Consider the following 21415-nt stretch of genomic DNA (forward strand, 5'->3'; position numbering starts at 1 on the left):
ACAGTTTGGAAAGAGTAATTTTATGGCTGTGGAATTTAAGTAAAAGAAGGTTTATAATATGTATATCTTTTTAAATTTCATTTTTCTATTAATTGATTTTCATTCCATTTCACAAAAATATACCTTTGCAATGGATATAAAATTTACAAAATAAATAAATCAGCCCTACCCCTTTAGCACAGTTAGTGTGAAAAGCACTAAATTAGACACTTACTCTGACCAGTGTTCCCTGGTGCTAGCAAATTAATTATTGCTAGACTTATAACAAGAAAAATCCTGAACAAATCAGACAACCAGCAGCACTCTGAAAATAAAATGACTTAGGACATGCACAGGCTGAGCAGGGAAGCACCTGTATGGAGTATATGAAGGACCTACTTTTTAAAGGAAATTTACTGAGCACCCAGTACATAAGCAGTATTAAAAAGCACGTCATCGTTATTTTTTTCTTTGAAAAACAGAACTCATAGCTATTCACCTAAATCTACTCACTGAAATGAAGAAATCATTAATACTTTATAACTGGGGCGTTAGAGGACATTACCATTACATACTGATTCAAATGAAAAATCAGATGTTGTTTAGGACTGTAGAGTATTGGCTAGTTTATGCAGGCAAATAAATGGATATTTTTCAGGAAAGACCCAAGTATAAACCTTAATTTGGAAGGATCATAATCCTTTACATTTCAAAAGAATTGTTTTATAATTTTTCTACATATTTATTGACAATAATGGTATAAATTGGCTTAAACCATAGCAAAGAGAATTCTTCTTTGCAGAAAGTGAAAAGTTCAGCTAACTAATGATGACAGCACCCTTAATGACTAGTTAATGAGCTACTGGAGTTTACTTTCCTTATAGGATGGATCAGAACTAATGTGACCCAACACAGTTTGCCTGAAGGCAAAAGAGTGATGGGTCATCTGATGCTTCACAGCATTTCCCAAATCTGTGAGCACGTAAAGTAGGAAAGAAATGAGCATTCACATCTTTTAGTTTTTGGTGTATTTGTGATTGCTGTCTAATATAACACTTGTGGTAGGCAGGATTCTGAGATGATTCTCATAATTCCCACTCCTGCAGAACCCATTCTCCTTGAGTGTGAGTGGGGACCATGATATGAAGGGATGTCACTCCCTTAATTATGTGACGTTATGTGGTAAAGGTAACACGATTCTGCAGATGGAATTCCGATCTCACATCACTTGATTTTCAATGAATCAAAAAAGGGAGTATAATGAATGATCTAACTTAATCAGCTGAATGCCCTTCAAAGGGGTATTGAGCCCCCTTTCTGAATGAAGAGAGTTTCCCTCTAGTCTACAAGAAATAAACTGCCATGTTGTAAGAGGACCTTTAATAGGGCCTCAACAACCACACGATTTTGAAAGAGGAGCAGGAAGTAGCCCCATACGGGAATGCAGTCCAGGCAACACCTTACTGCAGCCTTGTGAGACTGAACAAGGGGCCACCACGACTCCTCAGCATTGAAACTGTTAGATAATAAATGTATATTGTTTTAAACCATTCAGTTTGTGGCAGTATGCTACACAGAATAGAAAATACCAAACCAAAATAAATAAATAAATAAATTTACATTACCAAATTTTAAACATGAGATTCAATTTTTTTTTTTTTTTTTAAGAGACAGAGTCTTGCTCTGTTGCCGAGGCTGGAGTGCGGCTGCTGGATCATAGCTCACTGCAGCCCCAACGTTCAGGCTCAAGTGATCCTCTCACCCGCATAGCTGGGACTAATAGGTGCATGCCAGCACACCCAGACAATTATTTAATTTTCAGTAAAGGGAGGTCTCAAACTCATCCTCCCGCCTCAGCCTCCCAAATTGCTGGGATTACAAGTGTGAGCCACCGCGCCCAACCCAGGATTCATTTTATCTTTGCATAAAATGCCTTTATGAAGATTCTGTTTGGGGCTGGGCGTGGTGGCTCACTCCTGTAATCCCTGCAATTTGGGAGGCTGAGGCAGGTGGATCACCTGAGGTCGGGAGTTCAAAACCAGCCTAGCCAAGATGGCGAAACCCCGTCTCTTACTAAAAATACAAAAATTAGCCGAGCATGGTGGCACATGCCTGTAATCCCAGCTAGTAGGGAGGCTGAGGCACGAGAATCCACTCAAACCTGGGAGGCGGAGGCTGCAATGAGCCAAGATTGCACCACTGCACTCCAGCCTGGGTGACAGAGCGAGACTCTGCTTCAAAAATATATAAATAAATAAATAAATAAATAAATAAATAAATAAATAAATACATAAATTCTATTTGGTTTGTTTAGATTCACTGAACCTTAAATTAGTCATCAGTCTTTGATTTCCTCTGTATAATCTGATTCACATCTTTTTTGTATCCACGTTGAGGATCTAACATGTATTTCTAACTCTTCTCATTTATTCATGCCTCTACACTAGGAGGAAAACTCATCAACTGGCACAATAAACGGCCGCACATAAAAGACTGCACACACCCCTCTTCTATACTTTAAAATGCCTTATGAGCTCAGATACAAATTCTTGAAAAATTAGAATTGATACTTTAAACAGCATAATGTAATTGATTTTTACTTTTCTGAAAATATTTCATAATATACATTTATTACTCAAGGTAAACCATGATGATATGTGTGTTGCTCATCTTAGCAGGAAAAAAAAGTGCCATTCTATATTACAAGTAGTATGGTAATTATTGCTTATGTATCTTTAACGTTACAATTTTCCGTTTGCAAAGATTACTAGAACTAATATTGTCAAGGGAGAACACCTAGGGCCTCTTTCACAGAACTAAAATCATCAGGGACAATGGGCCACTAAAATTATTTTTCTGCACACAAGGCCAATTTTTCTGAAAGGTCAATGACTTCATTATATACTACAATATACCCCCCTACCCTTATTCAAGGTTTTGCTCTCTCTCTTTCTGGGGTTTCAGTTACCCGCAGTCGACCAAAGTCCAAAAGTGCTACAGAATTAGAGAGGGAGAGAGACCACCTCCACACAACTTTTATTACAGTGTATTGTTATAACTGTTCCATTTTATTAGTTGTTTTAATCACCTTTCTGTGCCTAATTTATAAACTGTATCATAGGTAATGTATACATAGGCAAAAACATAGTATATATTTTTAATCAGTAATATACGCAGTTTCAGGCATCCACTGGGGGGTCTGGAAATGTGTCCCTAGTGGATAAGGGGGAACTTATCTGTACTTGATAAGTCCTTCAATCAGATACAAAAAGAAGCTTGGTGCCATACTATGCCTTAGCACAATTTGGATGGTAGCAAAATGTTTAAAAGAGAGGAAAACATCAAACTTCATGATTTTTGCTTTCAGAAAGGAGAAACTTAAAACAGTGGGAAAATAAACTTTTCAGGAGCATAACCACAAGCATGGGAGTGCTCAAGTACCAAGAAAGATCTAATTTATGGTCAATAGATACATGAATGACAATTCTGTAACAACTAAAACCAAGTTTTTAAGAAATAGGAGGTGAGCAATTATGTGTTGGATAGTGCTAAAGCCAGAAATTCTTCCTTACAAGATGTTACGAAGGTAGGTCTTACATCTAGTTAATGGTGGAAGCAAACAGGAACCCATGTCACCTGATTAGACTGTTATCCTGCTTCTAATCAGAGTATATTTGTTCAGTGCTTTCTACATGCAGTGTTTTACATGAATATTTTTAATCCTTACAAGAACCCTATGAAGTTTTATCAATGGGAAGGTTGACTTGTTCAAGTTACCCAGCTAGTTGTAGAGCTGAGCTTTGAATCTGCACTTTTAACCAACCATGCAAGTTCCATGAAATAATTAAACTCTGATGTTCAAAAGCATCAATTTTTTAATGCAATGACTTCTCTTCTATGCCATTAATATGGTACTAGTTATGAACCATTTTGAGGAGAATTAAAAAGTCACTCAAATGAATATCTGTCCTCTGTTTCAGATGAGGAAACCTGATTAGAAAGGCAGCAACCCAAGGCCAGATGCAATGGCTCACGCCTGTATTCCCAGCACTTTGGGAGGCTGAAGCAGGAGGATCACCTGAGGTCAGGAGTTTGAGACGAGCCTGGCCAACATAGTGAGATACCAAGACTCCGTCTCTCCAAAATATTTTTTTAAAACTAGCTAGGCATGGACAACAGAGCAAGATCTTGTCTTTAAAAAAATAAAAAATAAATAAAAAAAAAACAAACAAAAAACAGAAAGGCTGCAACCACACCATATATGATCACTTTTTAGAATTGTAATTACTTGATAGTCACATACAAGAATGAAGCTTTAATGATATTCAGCATAGATCCAACATCTAAATCCATTTAAATTATAGGAGACCTGTGTAACTTGACAGGAATCTGTACTGATTTAGTGAACAGAAAGGATATGGAGCAAACAGCCATCTTCAGCTTCAGACAAAAGCCATGACACAAGCATAAAAAATCTTAAACATAACCTCAGGACGATAAGCAAGGAACCATCTGTTGCATTTTATTTATTTATTTTATGACTTGGACCTCCCTTTCCCACTCCCATTCCAGAGATTTTCCCCTAGTGTTCTAATCAGATAAATGTGAAAAGCATAAGAGAAAACAGTAGTCTTTACTAATCTCCATAGATGCCTCCAGGAGTAGATTAGAAAATCAAGAAAAATGTCTAGTTCTCATGGCTCCACATTAGAATCAGAAAAGATGAAAGAACTAACACTTTTCACCCTTTGCTCAATAAATTCAGTGGAATATACATAGACAAGTACTTGATGGCCTCTCATTTAAGCCTTACCATTTCCCCTAAAAGGTCCGGTATGTGATACTCTTTTACAGAATATGAAATGAAACTGAAAGAAAATTAACTTTCCAAGATCACACAGGCTATACCAGAAGCAGGGTTCAACCTTGGGATTCTCTGACTCAAAATCCTGAATATTCCCACCATACCAGATTGCCTACCTTGAGTCCTCTGAACTACCATAGCATAGACTCATATGGTTCTGGCTTTACTTAAGTATCTATCAACTTAGCAATTTTTGGGAGTTAGTAGAGCAATACAGAACCACTGTGGGTTTGAAGATGTGAAAGAGTAGGATCACAGGATTCCGACTGGACAAAAAAGTAAAATAATCAGCAGTTATATATCACATCCACTTTGATGTTTCAGTTACTCCTAATAAATTTACAATCTTTTCCATGGATGATGGCATTTCTGGATACTACAAAGCATTTTCAGGTTTTATAATGTTTTCTAAATGTATATATTCTATGTACATGTAGCATATCTGAATCTGCATGTATATTTTCTTCATATCTTATAACTTTCACTTGATATAAATCATTATAATATATATTTGATGTTTATTGTGTAATGTGTATTATATGTATGCACACATCATATAAATATGTACATATCTGTGTATGTGACTGATGTATGTGTTTCTCTGCAATTAGGGTAGATATATAGAGGCAACAGAAGGAAGAAGGAAAAAAAAATCGATTCTGAGTAGCCTGCTGACCCCAGGTTTTGGCTCCCTGTGCATATTACAAGAATAGAGTCCAGGAGCCAATTTACTTCACATGTGGAAAAACCCAAAAGCGGTAGGACCAAATCCAAGACTTGCAACCTTCAAATGGCTCCTCTGTCACAGTCATGTACAGCCGGGACTCAGCTGGCCTTTAGATGCCACACAGACAGGTTGTGTCACATCTGATAAGTTAAGGAGATGAATGACCTCATATAATTATCACGCATGATTTGGTCTGTGATGAGTTACCATTCCCCTATGTTTATTCATTACCATCGAGCAAAAATATAAATTTTAAACAATTACTCACCAATAGACCTTGACACCCATGTATCAATCCTCTGGGAACTAAGCTACCCATTCACAATAAAATTTTGCCTCATAAAAATTAATGCCAATTTCTACACTTATATCGACAGGAAAATCAGGTGTTTGGACTGACAGCCAAGCAGCTAATATGTTTAATTTAGAGCAGTCTGCACAGCCTCCATTGTGCCCATCTTCCTGAGGCTTCATATGGCCCATTTGTTTAAGTCCCCCAACATTTTTGCAGATGTAAATTTAAGTCAATTCTAATAAAATGTCATGACAAAGACAGGGTGGTATTTTTAAAGTGACAAACTTCATAAAAATTTTACACATTCTTTTCTATGGCAAATGTCAAAATGACTGCTATAAAAAGGCCATGTTGGCTGGGCGCAGTGGCTCACACCTGTAGTAATCCTAACACTTTGGGAAGCCGAGGCAGGCAGATCACCTGAGGTCAGGAGCCCGAGACCAGCCTGGCCAATATGGTGAACCCCGTCTCTACTCAGAATATAAAAAAATTAGCCAGGCATGGTGGTTGGCACCTGTAATCCCAGCTACTCAGGAGGCTGAGGCAGGAGAATTGCTTGAACCCAGGAGGCGGAGGTTGCAGTGAGCTAAGATCAGGCAGTTGCACTCCAGCCTGGGTGATAGAGACAGACTCCATCTCAAAAAAAAAAAAAAACCAGATTCCTGGCATTGAAAGCTTGCTGCTTCAATGGTTATCATCAAGTTGTAATCATTAATCATTAGTCATGGTATTAATGTATTGGTTAATCTAAAACATCTTTTATCCATAAATCAACTCCAAATTTGCACCAGAAATTTTATTTCAGTGTTTGATTTCTACCAACAAGAGAACAGTGTTTATGAGAGGCTCAACTCCATTTATATTGCAAAGTGAAGGGCTGGAGTTAGATGAGTGTAACTAACCATCAGCTGGATGAGTCAAGTAAACGCTGGCCTTTTTCAGTACGCTCTTGGCAGATTTTTGCCAACTTCTGTATTGGTTGCGAAAAACGCAACTGGTCTTGATTTTACTATCCTGCACTTGCTCAATTTGTAGGGTAGTCTGGAATCATTTCTATAAACATCCTGGATAGATTGCATTATTAACTTTCAGATATTCTGTTTTGGGGCTAAAAACTCACATCTTTGACAATGAGAGGATATTGGTGGTAAAGCTATGACTTTTAAAAATAGATTCACTCTCTGTGGCACAGTTCTCCTACAACAGGTGCTGACTGAAATGTCACAACAAAGCACATCAAATGCTTTGTGGTTCTGCTTTCTTCACGGTCTCTTTTAGGACACTGGTTTTGTCCTTAACCTAGGGATGGAACAGTTCACCCACCCTATTCCACTTACACTCCACCGCATCTCTTTCCCTTTCCCTTTTATGATGAAAGACTGCACAGGTTTTAGGAGGAGACATTTTTAAGACCTGCTAAGCATCCCTTTTTCCATTCATTTTAAGTTTTTCTCATGGCCCAAATGGTTATATATTAGCACAATAATCTAGCTCACTAATCCATAGTCATCAATTCGTGATCTCTTAAAGGCAGAAAAACCACATAAGGCACACATAATGAAGCCTGGCTATTAAACAGTCCTTCAAAGTTCCCCACGCATTCTTTCATTTAATCCTCACGATAACATTGGATGCAGGAAGCAAAAATACTATCTTTGTTCTACAGATGGAGAAATCAAGGCTGAGAGTTAGTTATGTTCTACTTTACATGACTCCTCTCTCTCAATCTTATTGCTGGAATATGCAGCCAGGCGAGATAATAGATGCTAAGACCTCAAAGCTTCTGCAAAGGGCAGCAAAGTTCAGCAGGTAAGTGTAGGAATCTAGAATTGAGCTGCTTGAGATCAAATCTGAACTCCTAAGGAAATTCAAAAAAGTTCTTCATACCCTAAACTTGTTCCCGCATTTACAAAACAAAGATAATAATAATACTTATCTCCGAGGATTGCCTTGAAGGTTAGATGGATTAAAAAACATGAGGCCAGGCGCAGTGGCTCACGCCTGTAACCCCAGCACTTTGGAGGTTGAGGTGGGTGGATTACTGAGGTCAGGTGTTGGAGACCAGCCTGGCCAACATGGTGAAACCCTATCTCTACTAAAAATACAAAAATTAGCCGGGCATGGTGGCACGCACCTGTAATCCCAGCTACTAGGGAGGCTGAGGCAGGAGAATCACTTGAACCCAGGAGGTGGAGGTTGCAGTGAGCCGAGATCACGCCACTCCACTCCAGCCTGGGCAACAGAACAAGACTCTGTCTTAAAAAAAAAAAAAAAAAAAAATTGGAGAGTACTAATTAATAGTGCCTGGCATACAGAAGGAGCTCAAAAATGTCAGAAAACAATATTATTGTAATTGAAGAATGATTGTTAGTAATTATTACTGTTCAGACACTGCAGGTGGAGACACCAAAATTAGTTCAAACTGTGAATATCTATGGGAGAGAAAAAAGAGCAAAGTCACAAAAGGGAAATAAATAGCCCACCCTAACTCTTCTTATCTCTTGCCACAAACCGCAAGCATGGTTTTTCCACACTGCAATGGTACCAATGAGATGAAGACTGATTCTTAGATCCACTGGCATTTGCAATCCTAACCATTCATTCATTCATCTTGGAAACTCAGGAACTGCCGTGATGGCAAGTGCCAGTAATTTCCAGACCTTCAAGAGACCTGGGATGCCTCAGTGAGGTTTAACCAAGGATATGCTTTGCAGGGATATTCTGTCAGTTTTTTGTTTGTTTATTTGTTTAGAGATGAGCCTATGTTGCCCAGGCAAGATTTGAACTCCTGGGCTCAAGCGATCTTCCTGCCTCAGCCTCCCCAACAGCTGAGCCTACAAGCGAGCCCTCGCCCAAATTCCAGTGGTTTTTTAATCTTCTAGAGTTTACTGTTTTCTTTTCTTGACAAGGATCTGTTTCGACCAAAACTTCTCCCTTCTACTGGGGGCAGGAAGCACCAATAGAGTGGGGCAGTAAACCACTACTATCTGCTTAAAATTAATGAATAAGTAATGCTCAATTGCCAAAGGAAAGAACTATTTGTTCTTTTATCTGTTTCTTTTTCAATGATATTACTGGAAGATCTTTCTACCACAAGCACCACACACTTAAAATCTAATGACATCGGCTGGGTGTCGCGGCTCACGCCTGTAATCCTAGCACTTTGGGAGGCCAAGGCAGGTGGATTGCTTGAGGTCAGGAGTTCGAGACCAGCCTGACCAATATGGTGAAGCCCCATCTCTACTAAATATACAAAAAAGTTAGCCGGGTGTGGTGGCGTGCGCCTGTAGTCCCAGCTACTCAGGAGGCTGAGACAAAAAAATCACTTGAAGCCGGAAGGCAGAGATTGCAGTGAGCTGAGATCACACCACTGCACTCCAGCCTGAGTGACACAGTGAGACTCCATCTCAAAAAAAAAAAAAAATTCTAACGACATGTTATAAAACTACATGAATCTTTAAGATGATAATCTCTCCTAGGAAAGAAGTAAATGAAAAATAAAGACAAGTGAGAACCAAATGTTGCTGTGTCCAAAGGTAATATAGTGGCAAACTGGAGTCTTGTTACTACCACTGAAAGAAAAACTCTAGTCCATTCCTCTCAAAATTTGAATATTACTAATGTGTATGTATTACATTTCTGAATTATGTCATTCCTTCTTGAGAATGGAATATGTAATTTAAATCATTCCTCTAAAAACATCTCCAGTAAATTAAAATTATATCTATCCTGTATTCCAACCATCTGCTTTAATTCTCAAGGCTGTTTCATATTTCAAAAGTTACTTTGTAAGACATTGTGTTTAGTCTTGATCCCTTCCTCACCTGCCTCTATCAGAACATTCATCCATCAATCATGGCATCTCATTGCTTTCATCTCTCTGACATTTGGTCTTCTCCCTCTGAGATACTGGAATCTCCCTTCTGGTAACACTATTTAGTTGTCTGTACAGCCTTCCACACCTTCCCCACCCTTCTCACCAGAGCCTTTTTCTGAGAATCGGCTCTTCCCCTATCCAGGGTAATAGCAACTGGCCTTTTACCATGTAATACCTCCTAAGAAGACTGGACCAGATATGGTGAACTAACCCAAGCTCAGGCAACCAGAGTCTCTTTTCCAAATCCCATCTCCTGGTCACAATTAAATGGACTGTAAGTGGCCATCTGGCCCACATTCAGACTGTCAACACATCTTCTTTGGGAGGTTATCTTTAGGACTAGAATTCTACACTCAAGCTGGTTCAAGGCTTCAAAGGAGAAAGCATAATCCCTCGCAACCATTCAACACCATGAGCACTGGAGGCAGATAATGCCAATTTATAGAGAAAGAGAAGAAAGAAGTGACACAAAGAAAAGCAGAAAATGACTTGAGAGATTATCATGATAGCAGTCTCACCTTTTTCTGCAGTTGTTGGAACATCCTTGACCTGAACTCCCATGATGGATCATCCAGCTCCACTACCATTTAAAAATATTTCTCTTTTTGGTTTAAGATAGTCCTATGGTTTTGTACAATCTACAATCCCAAACGGCCTAATATTAACTTACTATTTATTGTTTTTTCTTAACTTTTATTTTTAAGTTGAGGGGTAAAAGTGGAGGTATGTAACATAGGTAAACTTGTGTCATAGGGGTTTGTTGTACAGATGATTTCATCAGCCAGGCATTAAGTCTACTTAATTAGTTATTAATTAAGTACTTAATTAAGTACTCATTAGTTATTTTTTCTGATCCTCTCACTCCTCCCACTCTCCACCCTCTGAAAGGTCCCAGTGTGTGTTGATCCCCTCTATGTGTCCACGTGTTCTCATTATGTTGTTCCACTTTATAAGTGAGAACATGCAGTATTTGGTTTTCTGTTCCTGTGTTAGTTTGCTAAGGATAATGTCTTCCTCTGAATTTACTCTATTATCTCTCACTTTCCTCATGTCACCGAATTCCTGGAAGAAACAATCTGCACTTGTCTCCATATTCTCAACTTGACCAACTCCTCAAGCCACTGAAACCATGCTTCTGTCCCTGACACGCTACTTAGACTTCTTTCTTTCATCAGTGGCCTGATGACTTCCTTTAAGGGGTCATCTAGTTTGACCTCTCCACAAAATGAAACTGTAAATCAAGGCCCTTCTTTTGAAACTCAGTGTCTATCTTAGTAGATTATAGATAAATATGAGTTAAATAAATGAAAAAAATCCTTCTTCTGCCTTCAAAAGTATTGCTCTCTGAATTTGTCTCCAAACTCTCTTCAGATACTTTTTTTTTTTTTTTTTTTTTTTGAGACGGAGTCTCACTCTGTCACCCAGGCTGGAATGCAGTGGCACAATCTTGGCTCACTGCAACATCCGCCTCCCGGGTTCAAGTGATTCCCCTGCCTCAGCCTCCTCAGCAGCTGGGACTACAGGCGCATGCCATCACACCCGGCTAATTTTTTGTATTTTTAGTAGAGATGGGGTTTCACCGTGTTAGCCAGGATTGTCTCGATCTCTCCTGACCTCATGATCTGCCCACCTCGGCCTCCCAAAGTGCTGGGATTACAGGTGTGAGCCACCATGCCCGGCCCAGATACATATTTCTAAGGGCCTAACAGACATCTAAAAGACACTGCAAACTCCAAATGTCCAACGATCAACCTACTCCCACTCTCACAACATCAACCTGCATTCCTCCTGTGTTCTCTAGCCTACAAAATTTAATGACACATGATCTACATGTTAGAGATCTAAAAGTCATCTCCAATTCTTCTTCCTTTCCTGATTCCCCAAATCTCACAACCACCAAGTCCTGAAATTGTACTTCTACTTCATACCTGCTTCACCTTCTCACTGCCACTAATCTTTTTGAAACCTCGGGCATCATCTCTGGTTCAGTGAATGCTGCAATGGTATACTAACTAGTCTCATTGCCTCTGCCTAATATACTGGCCCGCCTTAATCCATCTTCTACATATTATGATTCAAACCTATTACTTTTTTTTTTTAATTTAAAAATCTCAACAGCAACACAGGATAGAAGACCAAATTTGTGTTGGTACACCAAACAGGGCTATTGCAAATGTCGATGTAATATGAGCACTGCTCATCCCCTCCTTGGGTCAGGATGCAAGAAATTTATAACCAGACTTAAGCCAATAGCTACCAACATCACTTCCAATTGACAAGTCCAATGCCTAACAAAGAACAGACCACGTTTCTTTAGACCATGCCCCTTCAGTATGCAATGTACTTTTTCCTTGGTCATGCTCTGATGTATCCCAGTGTTCCATAGTCAGCTTGGAGTTGCTAATGTTTTCCTTAGGGACTCTCTTCCCTCAGTTTGTATTCTCAACATGTAGCTCAGCGCAGTACGTAATTTGCACTGAATAATAATCATCATCACGTTAATTGTTGAATTAAATTATATTTGGTGTTAAAAAATATTTGAAACAAGAAATATTTAAAAAGGCAATATAAATTAAAACAACTTCAAAAATAAAATGTACTATTTATTTAGAAGCCTAGTTTTAAGTATACTACCTAGAAGGCTGCTTACCTGCAAGTTATTTCTTTCTTGTAATCTAATGAAAAAAATTTTCTAACAGAATTTCTTTCTTGTTGATTAGCACTTAAGCTCTTAATTAAATGTTATACTAGTGTTTCTTATCCAATAAACCATTTCCCAGAATTTCATAAAAACTAAGAATTTTTAAGTACTTATGTTCTGAGATCTAGATAATTTTATTGTCTTTGGTCTCTAAGGTGAATTTCCAAATGTGAATATTTAAGTCTCTAAAAATGATTATTATGTTTAGGAAGCAGCATTTCCAATATAACCAAGCTCATATGGGAAATGAAGAAAACAGAAGCATTAAGAAAAATAACCAACTGCTACCTTTAGTATCTTTAATGTAATTTTGCACCTCATAAATCTGAGGGCTCTTCTCTCTGCCCCACTTACACATCCATCACTCCTCAGAGTATTTTCACCACAATGCCTGTTGCTCACTTTTTAAAAACAAGAGATTTTTGCAGTCTGCCTGAGCCCATTTATTTCATTGCACCATCCCTCTTGTAACTCTCAAAATATGGCATTATTAATATTTAACCATCCCTTCACATAGTTTGACAGTATGCACCTTAGAAAAATTTTATTAGCTCTTTCCCCTCTTTTCCCTAATTATCCCTAAGGTATTGGGCAAATATCAAAAGAAACAATTCTCTAGACTTGCTTGACAACTTTGGTATGTGTTGATTACATATTACAGGTTTATCTGTATATCAAAATCCCTCAACAATTTCTCTTAGAGAGAAATGTCTGGTGATAACAGGAAATCTGAAACAGGGAGCACAGATTGAAGTGAAAAGGACCTGAAATTGAGGTCTGATCATGGGTAACTTAAGAGAAACACATTTTAAAATTTTTCATTTGATTTGATGTTATATACAAATAATAATGTTATGGTTAATAGTAATTATATGCATGTGTATGAAAGAGAGAGAAACCAGAATTTATTATTTGAATAAAATAACATTGGAATTGCTTTCCATCATTTGCCAGAAGACCACCATAGCGTATTTTTAATTACACAGAAAAAAAGAGCTTCAAATAGACAGTAAGATTATCCCCAAATCTGAAGCATTTAAAATGGCCAGCACCATTATTTTCTACTGCCACCAGTTCAAGTTTTTCTTCCATTTATGATACAGAATTTTAAATGTATCCTAATTTTTTAAATCCACAGAGCATATGGTTAAAAAAAATCAGCAGAAGCAAATGTTAAAATAACATTTAGCCAGAAATATCCCACATTCATATTCAAAGAGAACTTCAAATATTGCTTTATATATAACAGCCTAATTCTGAATTATTGAAATTAACTATAAAAAGTGTGCCGGTTTGTTGAGGCCACAAAGTCAATCTTTTCCTCGTTCATAACCTGTACAAACAAGTGGCAAAATATAAAGGAGCAATGACCGCTTTCTTTACTCATTTTTAAAAACTGCTAAGAGTAGCTGATTCTATGTACTGAATTACTACAAAAGATGTAAAGCCTACAAAGAAGGGATATTTAAGAGCTTATATTTTACAAATAAAAATTTTAAACCTGTGCACATTTGCCTTCATTCCTAAAATATCACACCACCAAATATGTTTAATTCTAAATTTCAAAGTATATCTTATCTAAATGAAAGAAATAAAACTGCTTAGTATGTAAAGAACTTTTAATAGGTGCCAACATTTCAAATGGTATAGTTTCTTTCTCACACTTGTTTAAAAGACAGCAAAACTGTCTTTAGAATCACTTTTTTAATTACTTGTCAATTATGTTAGTAACCCGTCTCTATAGGACTTGAGCATTTTCAGGCTGCTTGTGTATGCAATATCTCATTTAATTGTCTTGGCAAATCATTCTTAAATGCTGGTGTTATTAAGTTAGATTTAATCCCTGAAAACAGTTGTGGACTGACAGAAGACCTAAGGTATGCACACTTGTTAATAAACTTACCTTACTGAGGTTTTTCTACTCTGTCAATCCACTTAAAGTTTTAAAAATATGTATGGACATACACACGTATATATGTGTATTTGCATATACATAAAATACTATCTATTAAATAGAATACTATATAGTGACACAAACTAGGAAAGTTATCTAATTATACGATGTTAATATTTTGGACTCTCAAGGAAAAGGTAGTAACATAGTATTTTTTCACAAAGTGCTGCCACTTTTACTTAATTGACATTGAGGTCAATTGCCTTTTTCTTTCAACTCTGTAAACAACACTACGCAATCGTTTACATGTTTCAGTGCACATACAAAAAAATGAATCCTGTGTAAGCTACATGGTTGGCCATCACAGCCCATTCCTAGTTTACTGGAAAGCAACTGTATGAAAGCCTTGGGAACAGTCGTGGTACTGCTCACAGATAGTTCATGAAAAGAAAGACTGGTTGACACAGTTAGTGACACAGTGCTTGATGCACACTGTAAGCCTTAAGTAAATGTGGAGGCGATATAATAGAACAAAGTTTGTTCCCCATGGAAAGCAGCTGACCTGCTTTTTGAAACACTACCACAGACAGCTCTTTTAATAGAAATAATGGACCGTTGTCATTTTAATAACAATAAAATGTTACTTTTTTGAAATACTGAAATTCTGATTTTTTTCCCAAAATGTTATGTATACTTACGTTAGAAATGCTTATGTCCATACATATAAGACATTAAATGAGATCAACAAATTGCATGATTTGCCTAAGATATGTTTCATTTTACCCATTTAAATCTCCAATTTAAAGTTATAAATAGCTTGAAGACATGTGCTAGGAAATTCTTGGAAACTTGCATCTATATTGAGAAATAGGGAAATCAAGAGAAACCTTAAGAGGTGCTTTATATAATGATACTCCAGAGAATATGTAAATTATATAGTTTGTTATGAGCACTATTGTAAAAATTATTTGTAAAATTTCTCAATGCATTATTGTTTATGAATATATACTCCTATATATACTAAATTTTAGCACAATAATAATTTCCATATGTTATGTTTTTGTAAAAATTTACTATGTGTAAACCCTAGAAAGAAGAGTATTTTATTGTTAGTTTTATCAATGTTGGAGAAATAACAGAAAGATGTCTACACAGTCAGTTTGTTGTGAAGAAAACAACTGTAAAGCTCTTATCTATTGTCAAAATGAACCACCTACTTTATATTCAAATTTTATGTATATTTATTAAATTAAATTAATGAAAGCCATGGGAGGGGGAGATAATAAAGGCACATTTCATTTCCCTTTAATAAACCATAATATGCTTAGATTCTTGTATTTTCTTACATTTTTTTCAAAAATTATATCCATTTCAGTCTGCTTAATTTTCATTCAAATGCCAATCCAAATAGCTACACATATAGCTATGTGTAACATTAATAAATTTAACATAATATTACTACTTACGTGGAAAAATATATCTATTGTTGCATATTTTAAAACATACATCTGTGGAATAGTAAATGTTATATGGTTAAGCCGATGAGAACAAAATTAAAGACTTGAGAAAAGTTTATTAATGTTCACTGTTTCAGGTTTTATTTTACATTTAATATTTTATCTCATAATTGATCATATGGCACATTTCCTTGTGTATGTAAAATGTAAACAGAAACTGCTGACTTCAAGTGAGAATAATTATGTCACTTATAATGCATGGAACAGATATCCATTACAATATCCTGACATACAAAATTTCTCCTTTATAGCCTTAAATACAAATTTCTCTAATAACAGGAAAAAAAAATATCCTAAGTAATTAAAGCCAAAAGTACTATACTTCTATGAGAATTTATGCTTATTTCCTGTGGATATCCACAATTCTTAGTTTTATATTTATACCATTGTACACTTTATATTAAAATCCCTGTATACCAATAGGCTCTCAGCCAATTATTGTAGACTGACTGGCATTTTGATGTGACTGAGATAAAAGTTTGATATTAACAGTTATAACTATATATTTTTTAATTGCATTTGTAAATAGATTCTAAAATTAAGGACAAATTTAAATTACCATTATAATACTGGCTATCACACATGTAATTCTAAATATTAAAATAGAAGTCTTTTAACATGTGACAAGAAATTATTTCTAGAAAAACGGACAACTACCCTTTTTGAAAGCTACATTTTAAAAATACCAATACGACATGTGCATACTATAGCATAAAAATGATATATTTTCCATTTATATATCAACCAATACACATTATGTGGCTGCTACCATATCATGTATTTATGTTTCACACCTTAGGGAGACAAACATTTCCAAAAGAAACACCTAACCCAGAGAAATAATCATATCAAAATTTCCTTGTCTGAAAAACATCTATTTTAGTGTTAACTCTTAGAACAGGTTAACTACTACTTTAATCCAAAAGAAAATTTATATTAGAATGTATGTTAAACAGGAGAGCAAAAAATGAAAGAAGATACTTAACTGACACATCATTTGTTTTACCATAATAGAATTTAAGCCCTTCACACAAATGTAAACACTCTATATTTTTAAAAAAAAACTTTGAACTACTAATTCTAATTGAAGTCCAACTCCAATTAGTGCATAATTAATTTTATAGTGTGTGATGGCATGCTCTTCCTCTTCAGCTGATAAAAACTTCTTACATTACTTTTTCTGTGAAAAATGAAACTGGCAAAAAAAAAAACCCAAAAATATTTACTAATGATTCCGAGAGAAATTTACATACAGAAGCATAATAATTTGCCTTTATTGACACTACAGTCTTTGCACTCAGTTTTTATAAATTTGAAATTTTCCCCCAAAGATTTGAGATTTGTCCTGATTAAACAGTGCATATGAATTCTTTTCTCGAAAGAAAAGCAAATGGCACATCTTTATGAAAAATATTGCATTTTTTAATTTCATAAAGTTTATTCAGAAATCTAACATGAAGTACAAATGTCAACCATCAGTTCTTTCCTCAGAAGACAGTGTTACTAACTTTTCAAATGAAAAACTGAAGATGCAGAAGGCTTCCAAAAATATTGTTAAGATTACCTACAGGAGATTGACTTCGCTCCACAAAACCTTTTATTAAGTATTTCATTCATTAAATAATCAATGTCTTATATAATTTGAAAATATCTTGAATTTTCATCGTTAAAAAAAATTTCAGATCCTTCCAAAGAAAAGAAATTGTGATGTCCTACTTCCCATTTTAACCCACTATATATACTCTTTCTTGTGTCTAGTAAATTTCTGACCATGAAAATTGATTTACTTATAATTTTAGGAAAGCATTATTGCAGATGTTCTTCTTAACAATAAGGATTTTTACATTAATATTTTACCACAGTATGTTGAGGAATAAAAGGTTGTATTTTGTTGTAGTTTTCCCCAATGGTATGATGATGTATCCCCTCCCATGATAAAAATATTGATAAATTGTCAGTTAAAAACAACACTGTAAAAATGAGTAATCGGAACACATTTAGGAAGTGATTGTTTTTTAAAGAGCCACTTATTTATTTGACACAGAATGCAAGCGACTCATTTGAGTTCTCACTTTACAGGCCAAGCAACAAACAGACTTAAAAAATTAAATGGAAGTGTGATGCCTTAATAAGAGTAAATAATTCTGAAGCATCCTTAGGGTGATTCTTACTCTTTTTATGTTTAAAAATATCTGACTGGAACATCCTGCCAATTAAACGAAGATCTCCAGATGGCATTTACCCTTTTGCTTCATAACAAAAAGGATCTGCAATCAGTTTTATGGAAGATTATCTAAAGAGGAACATTACTGTAACTCAATGACAACAAAAATTAGACACTCCCCTTCTCCGGGATAGAATGTGCATCCTCCAGATTCTTGCACTGACACCTAAGGTAATAAATACTTAAAACTGAATCTTAAATAATAGCCGCAGGATTTCAACCGCTAAAGATTCACTGTTACTTTCCACCAAAAACTCCTGTATTCAGCACTCAGCCAACAAAGGACAGCAAGTAATTCCCAGCAGCATAAATACCGGGAAAGCTACCTTGGGCTTTGTTTTTGTTATGTAAAATGCATTAAAGTGACTCATCCACTTAAGATTACCTACCTTTAGAAGCTTTAAAGAAGCTCCAAGAACCAAAATAAATGCTTTCCCAGAATGCCGGATAGGCTATTCGGTGCATTAAAAAATATGTATATATTTATATGTGCCATTGAGTTTGATTCTATTTTGCTAAGAAAGGAGAGAATTATTATTTTTCATTCCCTTCCTGTGGTGTGACTATAGCTACCTATAAGCCCTCTATTTCCAGAACAGCAGCGAGGTTTTTAAAAGTTATTTTAGAAATGGTAAAAATAAAAGAAAATTTGTAGGAGACTGGAAATAGTCCCTCCTTCAAAGAATAGGCTCTATTCATTTGAAGAACAGGGACCGCGTGTCTGCCGACACTTAGATGTTTCAAATAATGGGTTGGGGAGGTTGGATCGCGTGGTCCCAGTACCTGCGAGCCCCCTGCGTGGACAGCACGCTCGGCCGCGGGGAGCCAGCACGCGTCTAATCGGAAGGCTGTCAAGTGCATCCAGTAACGTGGGATAAAACGAGTTTGGGCACTACAGCAATTAAAGAGCATCTCCGAGGCCAAGTGCGGGGGAAGTCCACGCTACCTCGGCAAGCCTGAAATTACCTGTTTGTAAATTACCCAACCAAAACATAACTTTTTATTGAACTGGGTTGAATCAGAGCGGGTGAGCTGGCTGGAAACTTTTTTCCCCAGTACGGCTGCACTCTGAAGTCTAGAGAATCCCGTTAGAGACGGGCTGAGACGCCGCGAGTCGTCGGCGGGCGCTTCCCGGGACAGTCGGCCCCCAGTGCCCGGCCCCGTGGAGGCGCCCGAGACGCCGGTTCGGGACGCATTCCAGCGGCGAGCGGCGCGCACCGCCTGCCCGGCGTCTCCGCATCCGAGCCTGGCTCCCCGGCCGCTCGCTCCCCACCCCCACGGGCGGAAAAGCCCCGCGACTCGGGAACCGACCCCCACCCCCAACTCCCGCGGCGCCCCTCGGCCGGCGCTCCCTGCCCGGCCCGCCGACTTACGTGACGGCCGAAGGGAACGGCTCCTCCGACGAGGGGCCGATGAGCAAAGATTGGAAAAGTGTCAGAGTCAAGGCCAGCAGGCAGCCAGCAGCCATCTTCGCGATCGAAGATCAATGCCCCCTCCCTGCCCAAGCGGGGGAAGGAGCGGCGCTGGAAACCGCGGGCGGAGGAAGAGCAGCACACGCCGCCGGGACCGCGGGCGTCTGGAGGGCTGGCTGCGCCCGGGGCCCGAGGCGCGGAGCCGCGCGGGGGACGGCAAGGGCGGGAGCGGACGCCGAGGAAGGGGCGGTGGCGGGCGGACCCACTAGCGTGCGTCGGCTGCTCCGCGCCGCGGCCGCCTTGCCTCCGCCGCCATCAAGGGCGACTTTGGAAACAGACCTCGGCGAGCCCGCCGGCGCTCGCGCGCTCTCGCTCTCCCTCTCGGTTTCCTCCCTGATTTATTCCCCCGATTGCCGAGGCGAAGGCGGAGGCGGGGGCGGGGGCGGAGGAGGGGTGACGGCGCTGGAGGGTGGGGGTGGCTGCAGGAATCGGGGAATGGCAGGCAGAGAGACTTGTGGAAGCGAGAGGCTCCGTCTGGCTTCTTAGGCAAGTCAGAGGGAGGCGGCTGGGGGTGGGCAGCGGGAGGGCTGGGCGTCAGAGCAGTCGGGCGGAGACGGGCCGGGAGCAGCCCTCCATACAAGGCAGCCAGGAACTCCCAAAGTCGGCGCCGGCTCGCTCCCGCCGCCCGGCGTGCGCAGGCGGAGCGGACCAGCCCCGCGGGGCTCCCGGGGGACGGCCAGCCGCCCAGCGGGCATCCACAGGCTGCAGAGGCTCCAACCCAGGACTTGGCTCGCGTCTTCGGGGGTTATTTTTGCACATGCAGGCAGCGTTCCCCCCCAGCCCTACTCCCAGGCGCAGAATCCAGTGCCTGCCTGGGAATCGTGAAGTGATTTGACAACAAATGTAGGAGGGGTTTGTATTGCATTTTAAAGCACCACTGTTGACTCTCTACCAGGTGGCACTATATGCCCGCGTGTGCCATAGGTTAGAGCCTCTGCCGGGGCTGGGTGCCCTTTGTGCCAGCGGTCCCACGCCCAGGTACTGCTCGGCTCACCTGGCGAGGACAGAGCCTCAGGGACCGGGCTGTGGACGGACAGAGAAGTACTGACGCTGTAAAATCTTCCCAGCCCTGTGGTTCCATTGGACAGAGGGGTGGAGGGACGAATTCTGCATCTAGGGAGGACAGTAGTAAGAGAAGCGCTTTGCAGCATCCCAGTTGGGACTACCTCCAAAAGGGTCCTAACGCCCTGCTCTGGCCACTGGCCTGCCCTGCCTGACAAGGTTACCGCAGGGTGAGCTCACTTTTGTCAATGCGAAGGCATGAAAAGGGTAAGCAGCAGGAACAGGTGGCACTCTGAGAAATGCGCCTGAAATGTAGAGGAGGAATTAAGGGAGGGGGAGAGAGCTAGGGAGTAGCAATGCCGGACTGGTTTTATCTCCAGACTCAGAGGAAGCAGTGGCGGGCTTTCTCCTTGAAAAGACAGGGTCTGCGACTAGGCCTCTCCCGCCCAACACAGGCCTCCTACAAGAGGGCCCTGGTGGGCCAAAGATAGAAATATATTCTTGCACACCTTAAATTCTTAAGCTCCCTCTAGTAGTGTATGAGAATACTTTTGACATGACGTGCAGAGAATACAATTTGTGATGACTATCCTGCATATGCAAAAATTCTGTAAGTATCGGGGTGGCTGTCAGATTTTTAATTAGCCCGTTCTTATTTTTAGGAGATGCTTCTGAAAGAAAAAGACCCTTATTAATTCGAAATGAATTTTCCAGCTCTCTGAAGGCAATCTCCCAAAACAAAGACTAATAATAATACTACTACTATTAATTACTGGCCAAATTTTAAGAGCGTGTGTGATTTTATGATGCTTAGCCTGGTGAATTTATTTTTCCTTCCCACTTATTTCTCCTTTTTTTAATGC

The 21415-nt window shown here is 38.9% G+C and overlaps 1 protein-coding gene across 15 annotated transcripts in view, besides 1 other annotated feature; it reads right to left on the bottom strand.

The window, feature by feature from the left end:
* Window positions 1-20043, bottom strand: part of CACNA2D1 (calcium voltage-gated channel auxiliary subunit alpha2delta 1) — a 497513-nt gene extending 477470 nt beyond the window's left edge. For 13 of the 15 annotated variants that reach the window (XR_001744873.3, XM_005250574.4, XM_005250572.4 and 10 more), the window contains exon 1: window positions 19452-20043. Coding sequence is in view for 14 of the 15 variants with exons in the window: in XM_005250574.4 (XP_005250631.1) it covers window positions 19452-19546 (95 nt within the window). In the remaining variant the exon portion in view is untranslated. The remainder of the gene's footprint in view (window positions 1-19451) is intronic. The other 2 variants (NM_000722.4, NM_001302890.2) reach the window with 1 other exon arrangement.
* Window positions 18306-18869: an enhancer, noted in NCBI's record as "OCT4-NANOG-H3K27ac hESC enhancer chr7:82071535-82072098 (GRCh37/hg19 assembly coordinates)". NCBI's record gives its function as "activates a minimal SCP1, AML or CMV promoter by ChIP-STARR-seq in naive H9 embryonic stem cells {active_cell/tissue: H9 hESC(naive)}" and the evidence as "EXISTENCE:reporter gene assay evidence [ECO:0000049][PMID:30033119]".

Source organism: Homo sapiens, chromosome 7, assembly GCF_000001405.40.
Source record: "Homo sapiens chromosome 7, GRCh38.p14 Primary Assembly".
NCBI classification, from domain to species: domain Eukaryota; kingdom Metazoa; phylum Chordata; class Mammalia; order Primates; family Hominidae; genus Homo; species Homo sapiens.